Here is a 19672-nt window from a genome sequence, read left to right as displayed (position 1 = left end):
GAGTAGTGACCATGCATTTATGATACCAAGGCTGAGCCCAGAAGTCACCCAACTTGGTCATTACCACAGCAAGGCAGGGGCTGATGGGTAGATCTGTCCATGGTGCTGATTAACTCACTAGAGAATAAACAAGGCTATTCCCGCCCATTTAGATGCAAGCTCTGGTATTTTCCCTTGCTCTGAAAAGGAGGAGTTTAGGATCAAGACCACTTGAGATGAATTGGATTCTATTTTCAAGCCAGCCAGATCAGGGTGAAGTTGGCTAAGCTTTTCCAAAAGCTGTATTTGAGGAGAAGGTAGCAAGGCAAGGCTTAAGTGGACCCATGAAGAACAGAGGTTAAGGCTTTATTAAAAAAAAAAAGAAAAAAAAAAGAATTAAGAAAAAGTTCTTTGGCTGGGTGCAGTGTGCAGTGCTCATGCCTGTAATTCCAGGGTGTCTGGAGGCTCATGCCTGTAATTTAGGTGTCTGAAGTGGAGGATTGCTTGAGCCCAGGGGTTCAAAACCAGCCTGGGCAACAAAGCGAATTAAAAAATTAGCCAGCCATGATGGTACATGCCTGTAGTCCCAGCTACATGGGAGGCTGAGGTGGTAGGATTGCATAAGCCTGGGAGGTTGAGGCGGAAGTGAGACATGATTACGCCACTGCACTCCAGCCTGGGAGACAGAGCAAGACCCTGCCTCCAAAGAAGAAAAGAAAAGAAAGAAAAAGGAAAGAAAATCAAAAGAAAAAAAAGCAATTTGATGCATAAATCTTATGCTAGTTACAAATTCTGAAGCACAAATGATATACTGTCAGCAAAGGATTATATAGGTCTGGTCAGGAGGACATTAATTACAGTCTCTTAATTCCCCGTGGGAAATGGTGTTCTGTCTGTCCAGGATTACAGGTAGTCTCAAATGGGGTTTACCAAGGCTCTTGCAGCCCCAGCTATGTTACTCTGAAGTAGCTGTGAGGTAGCAACCTCATAAATCCCTTTCCTGGTTTCAAAAATGACTTTAGTAAACCACAGCTCCTAAATCTCACATGCCATTTTGAGTATGATTATAGGTATTTCCCTATATTGTCCACAGATTATATGAAAATGACAAAGCATCACCTATGCAAAGTTATGCTTCAACTATTTAAGAAAGAACTATTTAAGACAGAAAGAATTCAAATCCTACAGGGCTTGAGAGGGACTGGGCATGGCATGCTTAGCCAGGACCTACACAGAACTGCCATGGCCACCAGATTATTGCTAAAAGCAGCAAATACTTTCTCCACTATTCCCAAAATAAATAATATATCTAGTCTACTTTGCTATATTAATGTTATAGTATGGAGTATAAATACAATTGGCAATAGGGAAGTAGAATTACTCTCAGGTATTTTATTTTGGGGGATGTCTAGGGAACCGCAGTAGCACCAAAATCAGCTGTATCCACCAAATCAACCACTATTCTTGTGGCCACACGGTAAGAGACTCTTCCCACTGACAGATATGTGGTTTGCAATCATCTTGAGTTTGGGTAGTTTTATTGTTTTGTAGAGGTAATAGAATGTGGCACTTAAAAGGTCAAACTTGAACCAGACTACCAGGGTTCAATTCTTGGCCCTTTCCTTCCAGTCCTATATACCAAAGTAATTTATTTATCATCCCTCTGCTTTAGCTTTCTAACTTGTAAAATGGGAATAATAATGAACGATCTCAAAATATAGTTGTGAGGATTGAGTAGATATAAACTATTTAGAACAGTTCAATAAAGTAAGAGTTAAATGAAGTCGTTGAACATTGTCTTCTTATTTTCAAGCCCCTTCAGGATGTTTATAAGCTACCTTGCTTTTTTTTTTTTTGTCTGAGCCAAAATAAACAGCATTTGCCACTACAAAGCTTGTTGGAGATGGCCAGATTTCTTGGTTGCAGGCAACAGAAATTGACTCATTATTGAAAAGAGATGAGAGGCTCAGAGAACAAATGACTGGGGATAAATGCTTGGGAAATGAACAGAACCAAGGGAACAGCAAAGAGTGAGATATTGGATACCACAGCAGAGGAAACAAAAGCCACTTCTGTTCCTGCCATGGGTGTGACCTCCTATAGCCCCCAGCCTCCCCGCACTTCTGGTTCAAGAATCAGAATTCCTGAAGAAGACTCAGGTTGACAAAGCCCTAGCCTTGTACTGACCCAGCTGTGAGAAGAATCTCACACCTTCAGCTTCCAACTCTCTTAAAGGGATCACTGGTGTTCAACAGTCAAAAAATGACAAAATCCCACTGGAATGAGAGGCACTAGCTTCTGAGCAATGTTCTTCCCTAGAGCAAAAACATTTCCCATGGGTAGTCCACCAAGAGATCTAGAAGAGTTAAAATGCAAAAACAGGTCTGCTGCTATCTCATTAAATTTAAAGCAAAAACTTAAACATGAAAGGGTTGTAACTTTTCTTCACTACTCTCCCATTTCTTCTCAGTTCCTGGACTCAAATAATTACTGAAATTAAATATAGCAATTGAGGCTGCCTATTGTTTCTTGCTATGTAATATGTTACAGTGGCACCTTCAAACTCAGCCATCCGTCTGAATTGCCTCTGGTGTGTGACTCACACAATGGTTACTGTTGTAGAGAGACCCAACAATGAGCTCTTGCATTATTCACTTCATTTATTTTGATACAATATTTGGAGCTACTTCATTAAATTAGCTTAGAATGTCCTGTCATTTTTCCCTCTGCCAGCGTCTGTTTCACACAGATAATATAACACACAGAGAGTGTGAAAAAGTTGCCTGCAGAAGGGAATAGAAATTATTTAACTTGATTTATAGATTGGGGTTAGCTTTTTTTCTTCTCCTCTCAAAGAATCCAAATAGCATAAAACATTTCATTAATGAACATATCAATGTATTTGGTTACTAAATGGTTACTAAATGGGGAAGGCAATTAAGCTGTTGTTCCCTAAGATGAAAAGAGACAGTGTTTGGCTTTGTTTTGGGGAGGGGTTTCATCTAACTAAAGCTGGCTCTGACAGCAGAAATGCTAAACAGGAAGCCCATGTGTGTACTTTTAACTTTTATCAATGTGAGAGACTGAAATCTTCAAGTTCTGGGCGATCTTGCTTCTCAGTCTAACAAAACAACCAAAAGACAAGCAGCTGTCTTATTCAGAGACTGTTGCTTTTTTACAGTTAATAAATTTGTCACTTGTGGCTGAGATATGCTAGGCAAACAGGAATTGAATTTCATTGAATTTAAAGGTCCCCAGCCTCACATTTATGGTAGGAAAACAGATCAAGATAAGACAGCAGGACCCAGCTGAAGACGAAGAGTTGAAATGACAGAATGTCAGAATTCCTAGCCCAAGGCTCTCCTCGTTAGACACACTGGTTCCAAAATTATCCAGAAATGAATGTATAGGAAGGAAAGACAATGTAAATAAGAAACCAGTGTTTTTTATTTTTACTTATCCAGCTTTCAGAAAAAGAAAACTAAATTCTTTACGAGTGAAAACTATGTCTACCTGCAGTTGTGACTGATGTTCAGCTCGCGTACACCAACAGGGGCATCCCAGATGTTTACGGCCAGTTCCATTCTGATTTGTCAGTGCTCATACTAGTTATTAAAAATTCTGAATGCAATCCCTCTGTCAACCAAGAGGTCAAAGAGGATGGAGTAGTCAGCTCCTGTTTTGCTGTCAGCAACTTTTCCACCTTTTTCTGGCAACAATATTCCAAATTTCCTTTGGGGCAGCCACTTTTCCCCTGTCAGACGCAGTCTGGTGAAGCTCTCAACCAGGATGCTTTAGTTTCCTCCACTAAAGGATATCTCCTTGGTGCCCTCAAGAGCCCAGCCATTGGTTTCTATTTCCTATTCCTGCTCTGCTACCTTGGTTTTCTCCTGCCCATTTTAAGTCTCGTTTTCATTCTACTTTCCCATTTTGTAAGATACCCTCTAATAAAGCCCATTTCTCTCCAAGTTAGTCAAAGTCCATTTCTGTCACTGGCAACCCAAAGAACCTTGGATGAACCCCAAAATATAAGCCCCTTAGTCTTCTAGAAATGATAGGTCAATCCATGAGATAATAGTAAGTTACATCCCACAGATGGAATTAACTGGCTGCAGGAATGCTTCCAAAAGCAAACCTTCCTGAAAATACAGCTTGGAGACAAGTTATTGATGAGATTAAAATGCCTCTCTATGTCATCAGGAAGCATCAACTAGGAAGAAAAGTCTGTAACAATGAGACTCTTAACATGTTATTAAATGTCTGTTGAAAATACAATACTGAATCACAAGTGTGGGCCTCAGACCAAATAAGGCCTGGGAAGAATTTAATCAATATTTATGCAGAACTGTGGAGAAAAAACTGTTGCTTGTTTTATTAAGAAATTATTTTTCAAAGGCTTGCGTGATCATACTTGGAGGCATCTATCTATCTACATTTGTTCTGTTTCCTGATGAAAACAACCCTCAACTTCCTATTAATGATACTCATGATGCCTACGTTTATTAGGATACACCTAGGCAGTTGTAAATGACAGAATCTTGGGTCAAATGGTTTTAAGTAGAAAAGGAAATTCATAGTCACATGTAAAATAAAACGGTGTCTGGAGGGCATCAAGACTTAGATTCTTTTTGCCGTCTGGCTTAGCTTTCCTCTGAAATGGCATGACTCTCAGGAAGCCTCTTCCAACATGGTAATTGCCCCAGAAGCCTCAACACACGTTCTCCTGGTTTCATTCTCTAAAGAAAGCTTCTCTCCTCTTGGCATTTCCATGAAATGTCCAAGAATTGAGCCTCATTGGCTAACAAGAGTCATGTGCCCATCCCTGAACCAATCTCCATGGCCATTTAGATTCTATCTTCTGACTGGTTAGGTAGGAGCCACACCTCCCCTCCTGGGGGTGGCCTAGAGGCCCCATGCAAGAAGAGAGCTTTCCCAAAAGAAGGCCAGGATGCTATTACCAAGAAAAAGGGCAAATTTAAATGTCCACTGGCCTCTCTTCACACTAGAACGAGAGGTCTATGGTTCATTTCTGAAATGGCTTATTAGCAATTGCCTTTTTGGATTTATAAAGAATTATTTTTCTTTTCTCCTTTTTTTTTTGAGACAGGGTCTTGCTCTGTTGCCCAGGTTGGAGTGCAGTAGTGCAATCATGGTTCACTGCAGCCTTGACCTCCCAGGATCAAGTGATTTTCCCACCTTGGCCTCCAGAGTAGCTGGGTCTACAGACACACGTCACACCCAATTACTTCTTTATTTTATATTTTGTAGAGTCTGGGTCTTACTATGTTGCCCAGGCTGGTCTCAAACTCCTGGCCTCAAGTGATACTCCTGCCTCAGCCTCCCAAAGTGCTGGGATGACAGGCATGAGCCACCGCACCTGACCAATAATTCTTGTAAGCAGAAGAAACAAATATTATTTTGCCTGGTCCTGAAATCTCCCTATTTCTCTACCACCTACAAACTGGGTAAAATGAAGCAAGTGTGATTTGAAATCCTCACAGCAGAAGGGGTCTTTCTCCTTAGCCTTTCCTGCTGAGTGCCTTTCCTTCAAACAGCAAATGCCATCCATGGTGTGAGACTCTTCACCGGCCACACCTTCCCACCTGCCTGTTAGTCCCCTTTGCCTCCTTGGACCACACTCCCCAAAGACTCAACTCCTCCCTTCATCCTCTCCCTTTCAAAACTTGTTCTCATCTAAGTAATCATGAGCTAAAAAATGTCCAAAGAGGTAAACAGCAGTAGATAATAGATGTTTCATTATCTACTAATAGAGAATAATGAAGCATCAACTATATATTGTGATTTTGTCCCCAGTCCCCCCTAAACATGCCTGAAGTATCTGGTGTTTACTAAATAACCAAAAGGAGTGCTTGTGGCCATGGAAATTTTAGAATTGAATGGGGTTGGGGCAGTCACATACCCATAGAGATTCTGCAATGGTGATAGAATGGGGTGCTTTGAAGTCTGAGCAGTTTTTGCCAATGGGAGATATACTTACTCCTGGGTTGCTTTTCATGATTTCAGCAGGCAACATTACTTCATTCATAGAATGACCTCAAGGGGCTTCCCTGGGCATCTGTGCCCAAGAATGAGTCTTACTAATCTGACACTTTGTGATAGAGAAAGGGGTCTGCTGCAACTAGCTTTATCTTCAGGTCTATATCTTTCTCCCATACTGGATGCTTCCTGCCTTCGAAGGTAGACTCCAGGTTCTTCAGATTTGGGACTCAGACTGGCTTCCTTGCTCCTCAGCTTGCAAATGGCCTATTGTGAGACCTCACCTAGTGATCGTGCTAGAACATCCAAGACTGAGGGACAAGAATCTGAGGAGGGCCTTCTTGCTGCATCACCCCATGGCAAAGAGTGAGAAGGACAGAGAGAGAGAAGATACCATAAATTGATCTCCTATAAACAAAAATGAGCATTATTCACAATAGCCAAGATATGGAAACACCCTAAGTGTTTGCCAATGGACAAGTAGATTAAGAAACTGTGGTACATGCCTGTTTTGATTGCTCATTCTTATAAACAATAGCAGGAGGAGCGAAGATGGCCAAATAGGAACAGCTCCGGTCTACAGCTCCCAGCGTGAGCTACCCAGAAGATGGGTGATTTCTGCATTTCCAACTGAGGTACTGGGTTCATCTCACTGGGGAGTGCCAGACAGTGGGTGCAGGACAGTGGGTGCAGTGCACCGTGCGCGAGCCGAAGCAGGTCGAGGCATCACCTCACCCGGGAAGCGCAAGGGGTCAGGGAATTCCCTTTCCTAGTCTAAGAAAGGGATGACAGATGGCACCTGGAAAATCAGGTCACTCCCACCCTACTACTGCACTTTCCCAATGGGCTTAACAAATGGCACACCAGGAGATTATATCCTGCACCTGCCTCGGAGGGTCCTATGCCCACGGAGTCTTGCTCATTGCTAGCACAGAAGTCTGAGATCAAACTGCAAGGAGGCAACAAGGCTGGGGGAGGGGCGCCTGCCATTGCTGAGACTAGATTAGGTAAACAAAGCAGCCAAGAAGCTCGAACTGGGTGGAGCCCACCACAGCTCAAGGAGGCCTGCCTGCCTGCCTCTGTAGGCTCCACCTCTGGGAGCAGGGCACAGACAAACAAAAGGACAACAGTAACCTCTGCAGACTTAAATGTCCCTGTCTGATAGCTTTGAAGAGAGTAGTGCTTCTCCCAGCATGCAGCTTGAGATCTGAGAATGGGCAGACTGCCTCCTCAAGTGGGTCCCTGACCCCCGAGTAGCCTAACTGGGAGGCACACCCCAGTAGGGGCAGACTGACACCTCACACAGCCAGGTACTCCTCTGAGACAAAACTTCCAGAGGAACGATCAGGCAGCAGCCTTTGCGGTTCACCAATATCCACTGTTCTGCAGCCACCACTGCTGATATCCAGGCAAACAGGGTCTGGAGTGGACCTCTAGCAAACTCCAAGAGACCTGCAGCTGAGGGTCCTGTTAGAAGGAAAACTAACAAACAAGAAGAACATCAACACCAAAAACCCATCTGTACGTCACCATCATCAAAGACCAAAGGTAGATAAAACCACAAAGATGGGGAAAAAACAGAGCAGAAAAACTGGAAACTCTAAAAATCAGAGCTCCTCTCCTCCTCCAAAGGAACGCAGCTCCTCACCAGCAACAGAACAAAGCTGGACAGAGAATGACTTTGACAAGTTGAGAGAAGAAGGCTTCAGACGATCAAACTACTCCTAGCTACAGGAGGAAGTTTGAACCAATGGCAAAGAAGTTAAACACTTTGAAAAAAAATTAGATGAATGGATAACTAGAATAACCAATGCAGAGAAGTCCTTAAAGGACCTGATGGAGCTGAAAACCAAGGCACGAGAACTACGTGACGAATGCACAAGCCTCAGTAGCCGCTGCGATCAACTGGAAGAAAGGGTATCAGTGATGGAAGACGAAATGAATGAAATGAAGTGAGAAGAGAAGTTTAGAGAAAAAAGAATAAAAAGAAACAAAGCCTCCAAGAAATATGGGACTATGTGAAAAGACCAAACCTACGTCTGTTTGGTGTACCTGAAAGTGACGGGGAGAATGGAACCAAGTTGGAAAACACTCTGCAGGATATTATCCAGGAGAACTTCCCCAATCTAGCAAGGCAGGCCAACATTCAAATTCAGGAAATACAGAGAACACCACAGAGATAATCCTCGAGAAGAGCAACTCCAAGACACATAATTGCCAGATTCACCAAAGTTGAAATGAAGGAAAAAATGTTAAGGGCAGCCAGAGAGAAAGGTCGGGTTACCCACAAAGGGAAGCACATCAGACTAACAGCTGATCTCTTGGCAGAAACTCTACAAGCCAGAAGAGAGTGGGGGGCAATATTCAACATTCTTAAAGAAAAGAATTTTCAACCCAGAATTTCATATCCAGCCAAACTAAGCTTCATAAGTGAAGGAGAAATAAAATACTTTACAGACAAGCAAATGCTGAGAGATTTTGTCACCACCAGGCCTGTCCTAAAAGAGCTCCTGAAGGAAGAAGCACTAAACATGGAAAGGAACAACCAGTACCAGCCACTGCAAAAACATGCCAAATTGTAAAGACCATCGAGGCTAGGAAGAAACTGCATCAACTAATGAGCAAAATAACCAACTGACATAATAATGACAGGATCAAATTCACATATAACAATACTAACTTTGAATGTAAATAGGCTAAATGCTCCAATTAAAAGACACAGACTGGCAAATTGGATAAAGAGTCAAGACCCATCAGTGTGCTGTATTCAGGAAACCCATCTCACGTGCAGACACACACATAGGCTCAAAATAAAGGGATGGAGGAAGATCTACCAAGCAAATGGAAAACAGAAAAAGGCAGGGATTGCAATCCTAGTCTCTGATAAAACAGACTTTAAACCAACAAAGATCAAAAGAGACAAAGAAGGCCATTACATAATGGTAAAGGGATCAATTCAACAAGAAAAGCAAACTGTCCTAAATATATATGCACCCAATACAGGAGCACCCAGATTCATAAAGCAAGTCCTTAGTGAACTACAAAGAGACTTAGACTCCTACACAATAATAATCAGAGACTTTAACACCCCACTGTCAACATTAGACAGATCAACAAGACAGAAAGTTAACAAGGATACCCAGGAATTGAACTCAGCTCTAAACCAAGCGGAACTAATAGACATCTACAGAACTCTCCACCCCAAATCAACAGAATATACATTCTTTTCAGCACCACACCACACCTATTCCAAAATTGACATAGTTGGAAGTAAAGCACTCCTCAGCAAATGTCAAAGAACAGAAATTATAACAAACTGTCTCTCAGACCACAGTGCAATCAAACTAGAACTCAGGATTAAGAAACTCACTCAAAACCACTCAACTACATGGAAACTGAACAACCTGCTCCTGAATGACTGCTGGGTACATAACGAAATGAAGGCAGAAATAAAGGTGTTCTTTGAAACCAATGAGAACAAAGACAACATACCAGAATCTCTGGGACACATTCAAAGCAGTGTGTAGAGGGAAATTTATAGCACTAAATGCCCAAAAGAGAAAGCAGGAAAGATCTAAAATTGACACCCTAACATCACAATTAAAAGAACTAGAGAAGCAAGAGCAAACACATTCAAAAGCTAGCAGAAGGCAAGAAATAACTAAGATCAGAGAAGAACTGAAGGAAATAGAGACACAAAAAACCCTTCAAAAAATTAATGAATTCAGGAGCTGGTTTTTTGAAAAGATCAACAAAATTGATAGACAGCAAGACTAATAAAGAAGAAAAGAGAGAAGAATCAAATAGACGCAATAAAAAATGATAAAGGGGATATCACCACCGATCCCACAGAAATACAAACTACCATCAGAGAATACTATAAACACCTCTATGCAAATAAACTACAAAATCTAGAAGAAATGGATAAATTCCTTGACACATACATCCTCCCAAGACTAAACCAGGAAGAAGTTGAATCTCTGAATATACCAATAACAGGCACTGAAATTGAGGAAATAATCAATAGCTTACCAACCAAAAAAAGTCCAGGAACAGATGGATTCACAGCCGAATTCTACCAGAGGTACAAGGAGGAGCTGGTACCATTCCTTCTGAAACTATTCCAATCAATAGAAAAAGAGGGAATCCTCCCTAACTCATTTTATGTGGCCAGAATCATCCTGATACCAAAGCCTGGCAGAGACACAACCAAAAAAGAGAATTTTAGACCAATATCCTTGATGAACATTGATGCAAAAATCCTCAATAAAATACTGGCAAACCAAATACAGCAGCACATCAAAAAGTTTATCCACCATGATCTAGTGGGCTTCCTCCCTGGGATGCAAGGCTGGTTCAACATACGAAAATCAATAAACGTAATCCAGCATATAAACAGAACCAAAGACAAAAACCACATGATTATCTCAATGGATGCAGAAAAAGCCTTTGACAAAATTCAACAATGCTTCATGCTAAAAACTCTCAATAAATTAGGTATTGATGTGATGTATCTCAAAATAATAAGAGCTAGCTATGACAAACCCACAGCCAATATCATACTGAATGGGCAAAAACTGGAAGCATTCCCTTTGAAAACTGGCACAAGACAGGGATGCCCTCTCTCACCACTCCTATTCAACATAGTGTGGAAGTTCTGGCCAGGGCAATCAAGCAGGAGAAGGAAATAAAGGGCATTCAATTACGAAAAGAAGAAGTCAAATTGTCCCTGTTTGCAGATGACATGATTGTATATCTAGAAAACCCCATCATCTCAGCCCAAAATCTCCTTAAGCTGATAAGCAACTTCAGCAAAGTCTCAGGATACAAAATCAATGTGCAAAAATCACAAGCATTCTTATACACCAATAACAGACAAACAGAGAGCCAAATCATGAGTGAACTCCCATTCACAATTGCTTCAAAGAGAATAAAATACCTAGGAATCCAACTTACAAGGGATGTGAAGGACCTCTTCAAGGAGAACTACAAACCACTGCTCAATGAAATAAAAGGGGATACAAACAAATGGAAGAACATTCCATGCTCATGGGTAGGAAGAATCAATATCGTGAAAATGGCCATACTGCCCAAGGTCATTTAAAGATTCAGTGCCATTCCCATCAAGCTACCAATGACTTTCTTCACAGAATTGGAAAAAACTACTTTAAAGTTCATATGGAACCAAAAAAGAGCCCACATTGCCAAGTCAATCCTAAGCCAAAAGAACAAAGCTGGAGGCATCACACTACCTGACTTCAAACTATACTACAAGGCTATGGTAACCAAAACAGCATGGTACTGGTACCAAAACAGAGATATAGACCAATGGAACAGAACAGAGCCCTCAGAAATAATGTCACATATCTACAACTATCTGATCTTTGACAAACCTGACAAAAACAAGCAATGGGGAAAGGATTCCCTATTTAATAAATGGTGCTGGGAAAACCTGCTAGCCATATGTAGAAAGCTGAAACTGGATCCCTTCCTTACACCTTATACAAAAATTAATTCAAGATGGATTAAAGACTTACATGTTAGACCTAAAACCATAAAAACCCTAGAAGAAAACCTAGGCAATACCATTCAGGACATAGGCATGGGTAAGAACTTCATGTCTAAAACACCAAAAGCAATGGCAACAAAAGCCAAAATTGACAAATGGGATCTAATTAAACTGAAGAGCTTCTGCACAGCAAAAGAAACCACCATCAGAGTGAACAGGCAACCTACAGAATGGGAGAAAGTTTTTGCAACCTACTCATCTGACAAAGGGCTAATATCCAGAATCTACAATGAACTCAAACAAATTTACAAGAAAAAAACAAACAACCCCATCAAAAAGTGGGCAAAGGATATGAACAGATACTTCTCAGAAGAAGACATTTATGCAGCCAAAAAACACATGAAAAAATGCTCATCATCACTGGCCATCAGAGAAATGCAAATCAAAACCACAATGAGATACCATCTCACAACAGTTAGAATGGAGATCATTAAAAAGTCAGGAAACAACAGGTGCTGAGAGGATGTGGAGAAATAGGAACACTTTTACACTGTTGGTGGGACTGTAAACTAGTTCAACCATTGTGGAAGTCGGTGTGGCGATTCCTCAGGGATCTAGAACTAGAAATACCATTTGACCCAGCCATCCCATTACTGGGTATATACCCAAAGGATTGTAAATCATGCTGCTATAAAGACACATGCACATGTATGTTTATTGCGGCACTATTCACAATAGCAGAGACTTGGAACCAACCGAAATGTCCAACAATGATAGACTGGATTAAGAAAATGTGGCACATATACACCATGGAATACTATGCAGCCATAAAAAAGGATGAGTTCATGTCCTTTGTAGGGACATGGATGAAGCTGGAAACCATCATTCTCAGCAAACTATTGCAAGGACAAAAAACCAAACAGCACATGTTCTCACTCATAGATGAGAATTGAACAATGAGAACACATGGACACAGGAAGGGGAACATCACACACCGGGGACTGTTGTGGGGTAGGGGGAGTGGGGAGGGATAGCATTAGGAGATATATCTAATGCTAAATGACGAGTTGATGGGTGCAGCACACCAACATGGCACATGTATACATGTGTAACAAACCTGCACATTGTGCACATGTACCCTGAAACTTAAAGTATAATAATAATAAAATTTAAAAAAAAAAAAAAGAAAAGAAAAAGGGGTCTGCCAGCAGCAAGGTTCATTCTCCCTGTTTGTTCTCAGCCCAAAAGATGGGCATGGAGGCAGAGTGCCAGTGGCCCCATTTGCACAATGGCCTGTGCAGCAGGCCTCCAGCCACCCCCCTCTCATCATTCACCATCTTGCTTACTCATTCAACAAACGCCAAGTCCTTCCAGCTTCACACCATGATTAGAACCACCTAGAGGCACACAGTCACGTGAAGGAGGGTGGTGGCGTGGCCAGGATGACAAGCCAATCACCAGCGAGGCTCCTTCTATTCCTCAGACAGCATATTTGCTTCCTAGGGTTGCCATAACAAAATGGCACAGACAACAGAAATGTGTTCCCTCATAGTTGTGGAGCCTAGAAGTCCAAATCCCAGACGTCAGCAGAGCCCTGTGATCCCTCTGAAGGGCCTAGGAGGGAGCCTTTCCCTCCTGCAGCTTCTGGTGGCTCCCTGAATTCTTGGCTTGTGGCCACGTCACACCAATCCCCACCTCTGCCATCCCATGGCCCTCTTCTCCCTGGGTAACCCTCTGTGTCTTCTTTTATCCTTAGGCCTGCTGGCTTTGGCCTTCGGACTTTCTTTTTCTTTTTTTTTTTTTTTTTTGACAGAGTCCTTCTCTGTCACCCAGGCTGAGTGCAATGGCACAATCTCAGCTCACTGCAACCTCTGTCTCCCGGGTTCAAGTGATTCTCCTGCCTCAGCCTCCCAGGTAGCTGGGACTACAGGCGTGCACCACCATGCCCAGCTAATTTTTGTATTTTTAGTAGAGCTGGGGGTTTCACCATGTTGGCCAGTCTGGTCTCCATGTTGGCCAGTCTGGTCTCGAACTCCTGACCTCAAGTGATCTGCCCATCTCGGCATCCCAAAGTGCTGGGATTACAGGCATGAGCCACTGTGCCTGGCCTTCTCCTCTTATAAGGACACTGAGTCATTGGATATAGGGACCACACTAAATCCAAGATGATATCATCTCTAGACCCTTAACTGGTGAATCTGCAAAGACCCTATTTTCAAGTAAGATCCCATTCTGAGGTTCTGGGTGGACATGACTTTCGGGGGAATGACATTCCACCCATGACAGACAGGGACAAGCCCAGGAGTAGTCAAGGGAGTGATATGGGGTGAGGAACAGAAGAAACGTAAGAAGTCCTGCTGTCAGGCTCTGAGTCATATTGAAACTCCAAAGAAAATGGAGCAAACGAAAATCTGAAACTAAGGCAACAGTCTAGCACTTTGCATCCTGGTAGCCACAAAAGACATTTCACTGACGAGTTGTTTTCTTGGTGCTGACGGGTGCCGAGAGGGTGTATGTGTGCGTGTGTGCACGCGTGTGCATGTCTGTTGCCATTAAGTCTGTGTGTGAAGGGGGAGTGTCTGGGGACAGGGTAGCAAATCAAGGAGGACGAATCATACTTCCATTTTTTTTTTTTTTTTTTTTGAGACGGAGTCTCGCTCTGTCGCCCAGGCTGGAGTGCAGTGGCGGGATCTCGGCTCACTGCAAGCTCCGCCTCCCGGGTTCACGCCATTCTCCTGCCTCAGCCTCCTGAGTAGCTGGGACTACAGGCGCCCGCCACTACGCCCGGCTAATTTTTTGTATTTTTAGTAGAGACGGGGTTTCACCGTTTTAGCCGGGATGGTCTCGATCTCCTGACCTCGTGATCCGCCCGCCTCGGCCTTCCAAAGTGCTGGGATTACAGGCGTGAGCCACCGCGCCCGGCCATACTTCCATTTTTTTGACTGTGCAAGTGCTTTCCTTCACTCTCGATTTCAGAGTAAAATCTGGGAACACTGCCTCTCCCAGCAGCACTCAATGCAGCTCCACAGACAGTTGCTGAAAACCAGTGCTGGCCAGGCACGGTGGCTCACGCCTGTAATCCCAGCACTTTCAGAGGCCAAGGCAGGCAGATCATGAGGTCAGGAGTTTGAGACCAGTCTGGCCAGCATGGCGAAACTCCGTCTCTACTGAAAACGCAAAAAATTAGCTGGGTGTGGTGGTGTGCGCCTGTAGTCCCAGCTACTTGGGAGGCTGAGGCAGGAGAATTGCTTGAATCTGGGAGGCGGAGATTTCAGTGAGCTGAGATCGTGCCACTGCACTCCAGCCTGGGCGACAGAATGGGACTCCGGGGAAAAGCAAAACAAACAAACAAAACAGTTTTTTATCCCACTATATCTGCAAAGAATACACCTCCATTAAGGGTTTCTATTACACCAGCTAATTATAATAACTAGCCCTTCATAAAAGACTCATGGCCAAAATAGGCCTGTTTAGAGCTGTTCATTCCTGTCTGCTTTTCACAGAAAAGGGAGACATTTATCTGCCTTTGCAACAAGCCAAGAGTTACAGGGTGAGCCCTGCACCAGCCATTCAGTTGCTACATCCTGCAGCAACATAAATTCTCCTGTGTGACAAGGTAGAAAGCTTCATAGCCATCGGCAGCCCAGACGCTTTTTCATCCTAATTGCTCTGCAGACCACTCCTGCTCAGAGGGGCTCTCCACGGAGTTCCTGCAGGAACTGTAAATTGCGTGTGCGCGGAAAGGCTACAACCATCATTCGGCTGTTAGAGGCTGGCTTGGCCCACATGTGTGGGGCACGGTGGGGAATTAGGGGGAGATCTAGGGGCTGGAAGTTAGGGATGAGGAGTTCTTTGTTGTTTGCTGCTTTGAGGGGTGACGAGTCCTGGTCATAGCTGATGGGGAACAGCAGTGCCCAAGAGCTTCTTGTTCATCCTCCTGTCTAGCAGGTAGACTCATATTTGTCCCCACCCTTCTCCAGGCTAACCGTGGAGCGCTGGAGGTCAGGGTGGGATGCTGCCTCCTTATGGCAGGGAGACTTCCAGGCATCTGAGAGCTGGAAGGCGACTAGGATTTACGGGAAGAGTGGACTCATCTCGCTTGCAAGCTGGGTGCAGAGAGCTGGTGGCTGACAGCTTCCTGGAGGGGAGGCAGCCGGCCAACATTACCCACCGTCACCACATCCATGGACCCACTGGGGCCGCTTCAAGCAGAAAGAAACCCAAAGGACACTGCTCTACAGCTCAGAATAGAGAGCTGTGTGGGGTCCAAAAATATATCTGTGGCTGCAGAGGAACAAGAAAATGAGTTTGGGTTTACTGCAGGCCCCATGCCCCAAGGCAGCCTCTGCTTCAGAAACTGAAACATTTAGGAATCAAGGGGCTGGGCACAGTGGTTCACGCCTGTAATCCCAGCACTTTGGGAGGCTGACAAAGGAGCCCAGGAGTTACAAACCAGCCTGGGCAACAGAGCAAGACCCCCTCTCTACAAAACAAACAAAATTAGCCAGGTGTGGTATGCATTCCTGCAGTCCCAGCTATTCAGGAGGCTGAGGTGGGAGGATCGCTTGAGCCTGAGAGGTTGAGGCTGCAGTGAGCCGTGATTGCACCACTGCACTCCAGCCTGGGAGACAGAGAAAGGCCCTGTCAAAAAAAAAAAAAAAGAAAAAAGAAAGAATCGAAGGTCCTACTCTGATCGGCACATCTCCATCCATCATACAAACTCAGATGCTACCAGGGCCAGATAAAAAGTAGTGAAAAGGCTGAGAGTGGTGGCTCACACCTTTAATCCCAGCCCTTTGGGAGGCCAAGGTGAAAAGACTGCTGGAGCCCAGTGCCACTGCACTCCAGCCTGGGCAAGAAAAAAAAAGTACTGACAGGTGTGGGGGCTGCCGTGAGCTGGAGACATACTGCCATCAGATAAGAGCAGGTGCCACTCGGCACGAGCCAGTGGTGGTCATCTAAAAGGTGAGGCTGGCGTTGACATATTTCTGATTTTGAAGGATAGCAGGCCTATGGAAAACTATCTAGAAATCAGGATTTAACATAAACCCCTCCAATGTTTTCATGTTGGTTCCATTTTTTAGAACATTCTGAAATCCTAACCAAATTGGTCTGTGGCTCAGATTTGACCCAGAGGCTACCAGCTTGCAGGCACTACCTCCCAGTAAACCCTCTTAATAATGATAGTCCATGCTCATGGGACACCAGCTTCACATGAAAGCCTTGCTGAGAACGTTGCATGAGCCATCTCATTCAATTCTCTAGCAACCCTGTGAGTGCTTATTCATTTATTCATTCTTTCAAATCTCTTGAGCACCTACGACGGGCCCAGCAGCACTCACGGTGCAAGATCCAGCAGCGAACCCAGTATTGCCCCTTCTCTTGGTAGCAGCACCCTGGACTTCCTTTGGGAAACCCCCCTTCTTGCATGGGATCCCTAAATCACCACCCGGAGGGGAGGTGTGGCTCCTACCTGTCCAAGCAGAAGATAGAATCTAAACAGCCACAGTGATTGGTTCAGGGATAAGCACACAACTCTGTCAGCCAACAAGGCTCAATCCTTAGACATTTCATGGGAATTCTAGGAAGAGAGAACCTTTCTTTAGAGATTGAAACTAGGAGCACGTGAGGCTGAGGCTTCTGGGGAAATCACCATTGTAAGGGGCGGAGTGAGGGCAAACAATGAAAAGGGGTGTAAATAAACAAGGTCATCTCAAAACTGATGAGTGGCTCTATGGAAAAAGTCCTGGGGCTGGTGGCTGCTGGGGACAGGCAGTTGATGAAGGTCTGCATGGAGGACGCACATTTGAGCCAGCCTTGTGAGCAGAGGGATGCAGGTTGTTGAAGGAAGTCAGGAGTGCTAGGTCCAGGGGCAGCATGTCTGGGGAGGCCAGTGAGGCTGGAGGAGAGGGCAGGGAGGGCCATGCTGGGAGATGAGACAGAAGCCATGGGCAGGGACACATGCAGAGGGCCTGGCGGCTGTGATAGAAACTGGAACACAGCTGGGTGCAGTGGCTCACTCCTGTAATCCCAGGACTTTGGGAGGCCAAGGTGAATGGATCACTTGAGATCAGGAGTTCGAGACCAGCCTGGCCAATATGGTGAAGCCCTGTCCGTATTAAAGATTTTAAAAATTAGCCGGGCATGGTGGCAGGCAACTGTAATCCCAGCTACGCGGGAGGCTGAGGCACAAGAATCGCTTGAACCCAGGAGACGGAGGTTGCAGTGAGCTGATTGTGCCACTGCACTCCAGCCGGGGCGAGACACCATCTCAAAAGAAAAAAAAAAAGCAGCAGCAGCTGGAATGTTATTCTAAGTGCAGCAAGAAGCTCTTGGTTGGCAGGACCTTGTCTGCAACCTTTGCAGGTCACTCTGAGTGCTGGGGGCATGCACTGTCGAGGGGCAGCAAGAAGAGACCAGCTGAGAAGGGTCTTTGCAGAGGAAGAATATGAGCACTGTGTCTGCAAGGTGCATCCAGAGAGAGCACGTTACCTTAACAAAAATTCCTACAGGAAAGCAGAACACCCAGCTGTCCACCCGGGAGCTGCCTGCGGAAAGGGCTGACTGACACGCAGATGTTACAAGCTGAGACTCACAGAGGCAAACTGAGGACTGAGCGTGTGCAGTGAAAAATCCTACTAATTTCCCCAAAGTCTGAAACTCAAATATGAGCCATGTGTCTTTCCAGAACCAAGCACCACAGACCTACACACTGCAATTCCCCAGTGTGTCATTAACTAGCTGAAAAAATGTCACATCTTTCAAAAACAAAGGTGACCTTTGAGTGGATTTTCTGGTTGTTAGTAGGACAAAGGGGCTGTGAAGAATCGCCTCTCTCTCAGTTTCCCTAGGGTTCCCTGGCAAAGCAGCTGCAAGCCGGGCCACTGACCAGGGCTGAGGGGGCGGCATTGGTGGTGGGCTGCAAATGTGTCTTCGTGCAAAGCTGAGAGATCTGATTGACGATCAAATGTTCTCCCAAGGTAGCTTTCTGACCTTAGGGAGTCCTCAGACTCAAATGATCCTTCCCTCCATCTAGGTAGCTGGAGGCCAGCCATTTCTGCTTTAGAAATTCCTTTAAGTTCAGGTGCTTCTGGTCCTATGTGAATGCAAATGTCCTTCCAGGGAAGAGCGGCTTTAGGCCAGTATTTTTGAAACAGCTTGATACAGTTGGCTGTCATTGCTCAGCAAGCCTTAGAAACATGGCACGGAGGACTGGGAAGGTCACCTTGGGGGCCGAGAAAGGCAGCAGAAAGGGAAAGCCTCAGTGGAGGCCCCCAGATCCAAAGGAGGATACAATTTTCCAGCAATGATGAAAGGGCTTTGCTGAACAACTAATAATTTAGAAGAACCCCAGAGTAAAGTAGAGACAAATTCGATGAATTCATCTATCCTTGTTCAGAGGAAAAGAAAAATAGAGACATCATACTTTCTCTAAGGGCAGGGAGCACGTCAAGCTGAGGACATCCTGGGTTTTGGATATGGTGTTCTGTAGACCATCATTGTCTTACTTCAATCATCTTTTCACCTGTCGTTGATTTTGCTAAGGGGATGTTCCAAACTCTTCTACCTCTTAAAAATTAATATCGATATTTACTGAGTTCCTGCTACATGCCAGAGTTGCAGTAAGGGCTTTTATACAGTATTTTTATCATCCTAACAGATCTGCAATATCTTATCCACAATTCTGAAATTTTTTTGAAAAAAAAAATCACTCTCAAATTCAAAATTTTTTTCATAGGTTTGCATCAAAATATTTGGTGGGAAAACTTGCTGGAATAATGCAAAACTATATAAAATGCTTTTGTAGCACACTTACTGTTGCTGTCTTACATGTTTTACTACAGAAATATTGTTTTTATATTATAGGGTTCTACCTCAGATTGGAGGTAATCCTGAGTATGATACTATAAATTAATATACTATGTATCCATCTATGTGTAGAAAGATAGATGAATAGAGATTGTGTGTGTGTGCGTGTGTATGTGCATAAAACTTAAAATTTCTAAATCTTTTTTTTTTTTTTTGAGACGGAGTTTCTCTCTGTCACCCACGCTGGAGTGTAGTGGCGCAATCTCAGCTCACTGCAACCTCCACCTTCCAGTTTCAAGTGATTCGCCTGCCTCAGCCTCCTGAGTAGCTGGGATTACAGGCACCTGCTACCACACCCGGCTAATTTTTGTATTTTTA

General features: G+C 44.1%; 1 annotated feature.

Annotated features, from left to right (window-relative positions):
• Window positions 1-201: a silencer, noted in NCBI's record as "peak2046 fragment used in MPRA reporter construct". NCBI's record gives its function as "represses an SCP1 promoter by STARR-seq MPRAs in K562 erythroleukemia cells {active_cell/tissue: K562}" and the evidence as "EXISTENCE:reporter gene assay evidence [ECO:0000049][PMID:32103011]".

Source organism: Homo sapiens, chromosome 12, assembly GCF_000001405.40.
Source record: "Homo sapiens chromosome 12, GRCh38.p14 Primary Assembly".
NCBI classification, from domain to species: Eukaryota; Metazoa; Chordata; class Mammalia; order Primates; family Hominidae; genus Homo; species Homo sapiens.
The sequence above is the reverse complement of the archived record's forward strand: the minus strand, read 5'-3'. Positions and strand labels throughout refer to the sequence as shown.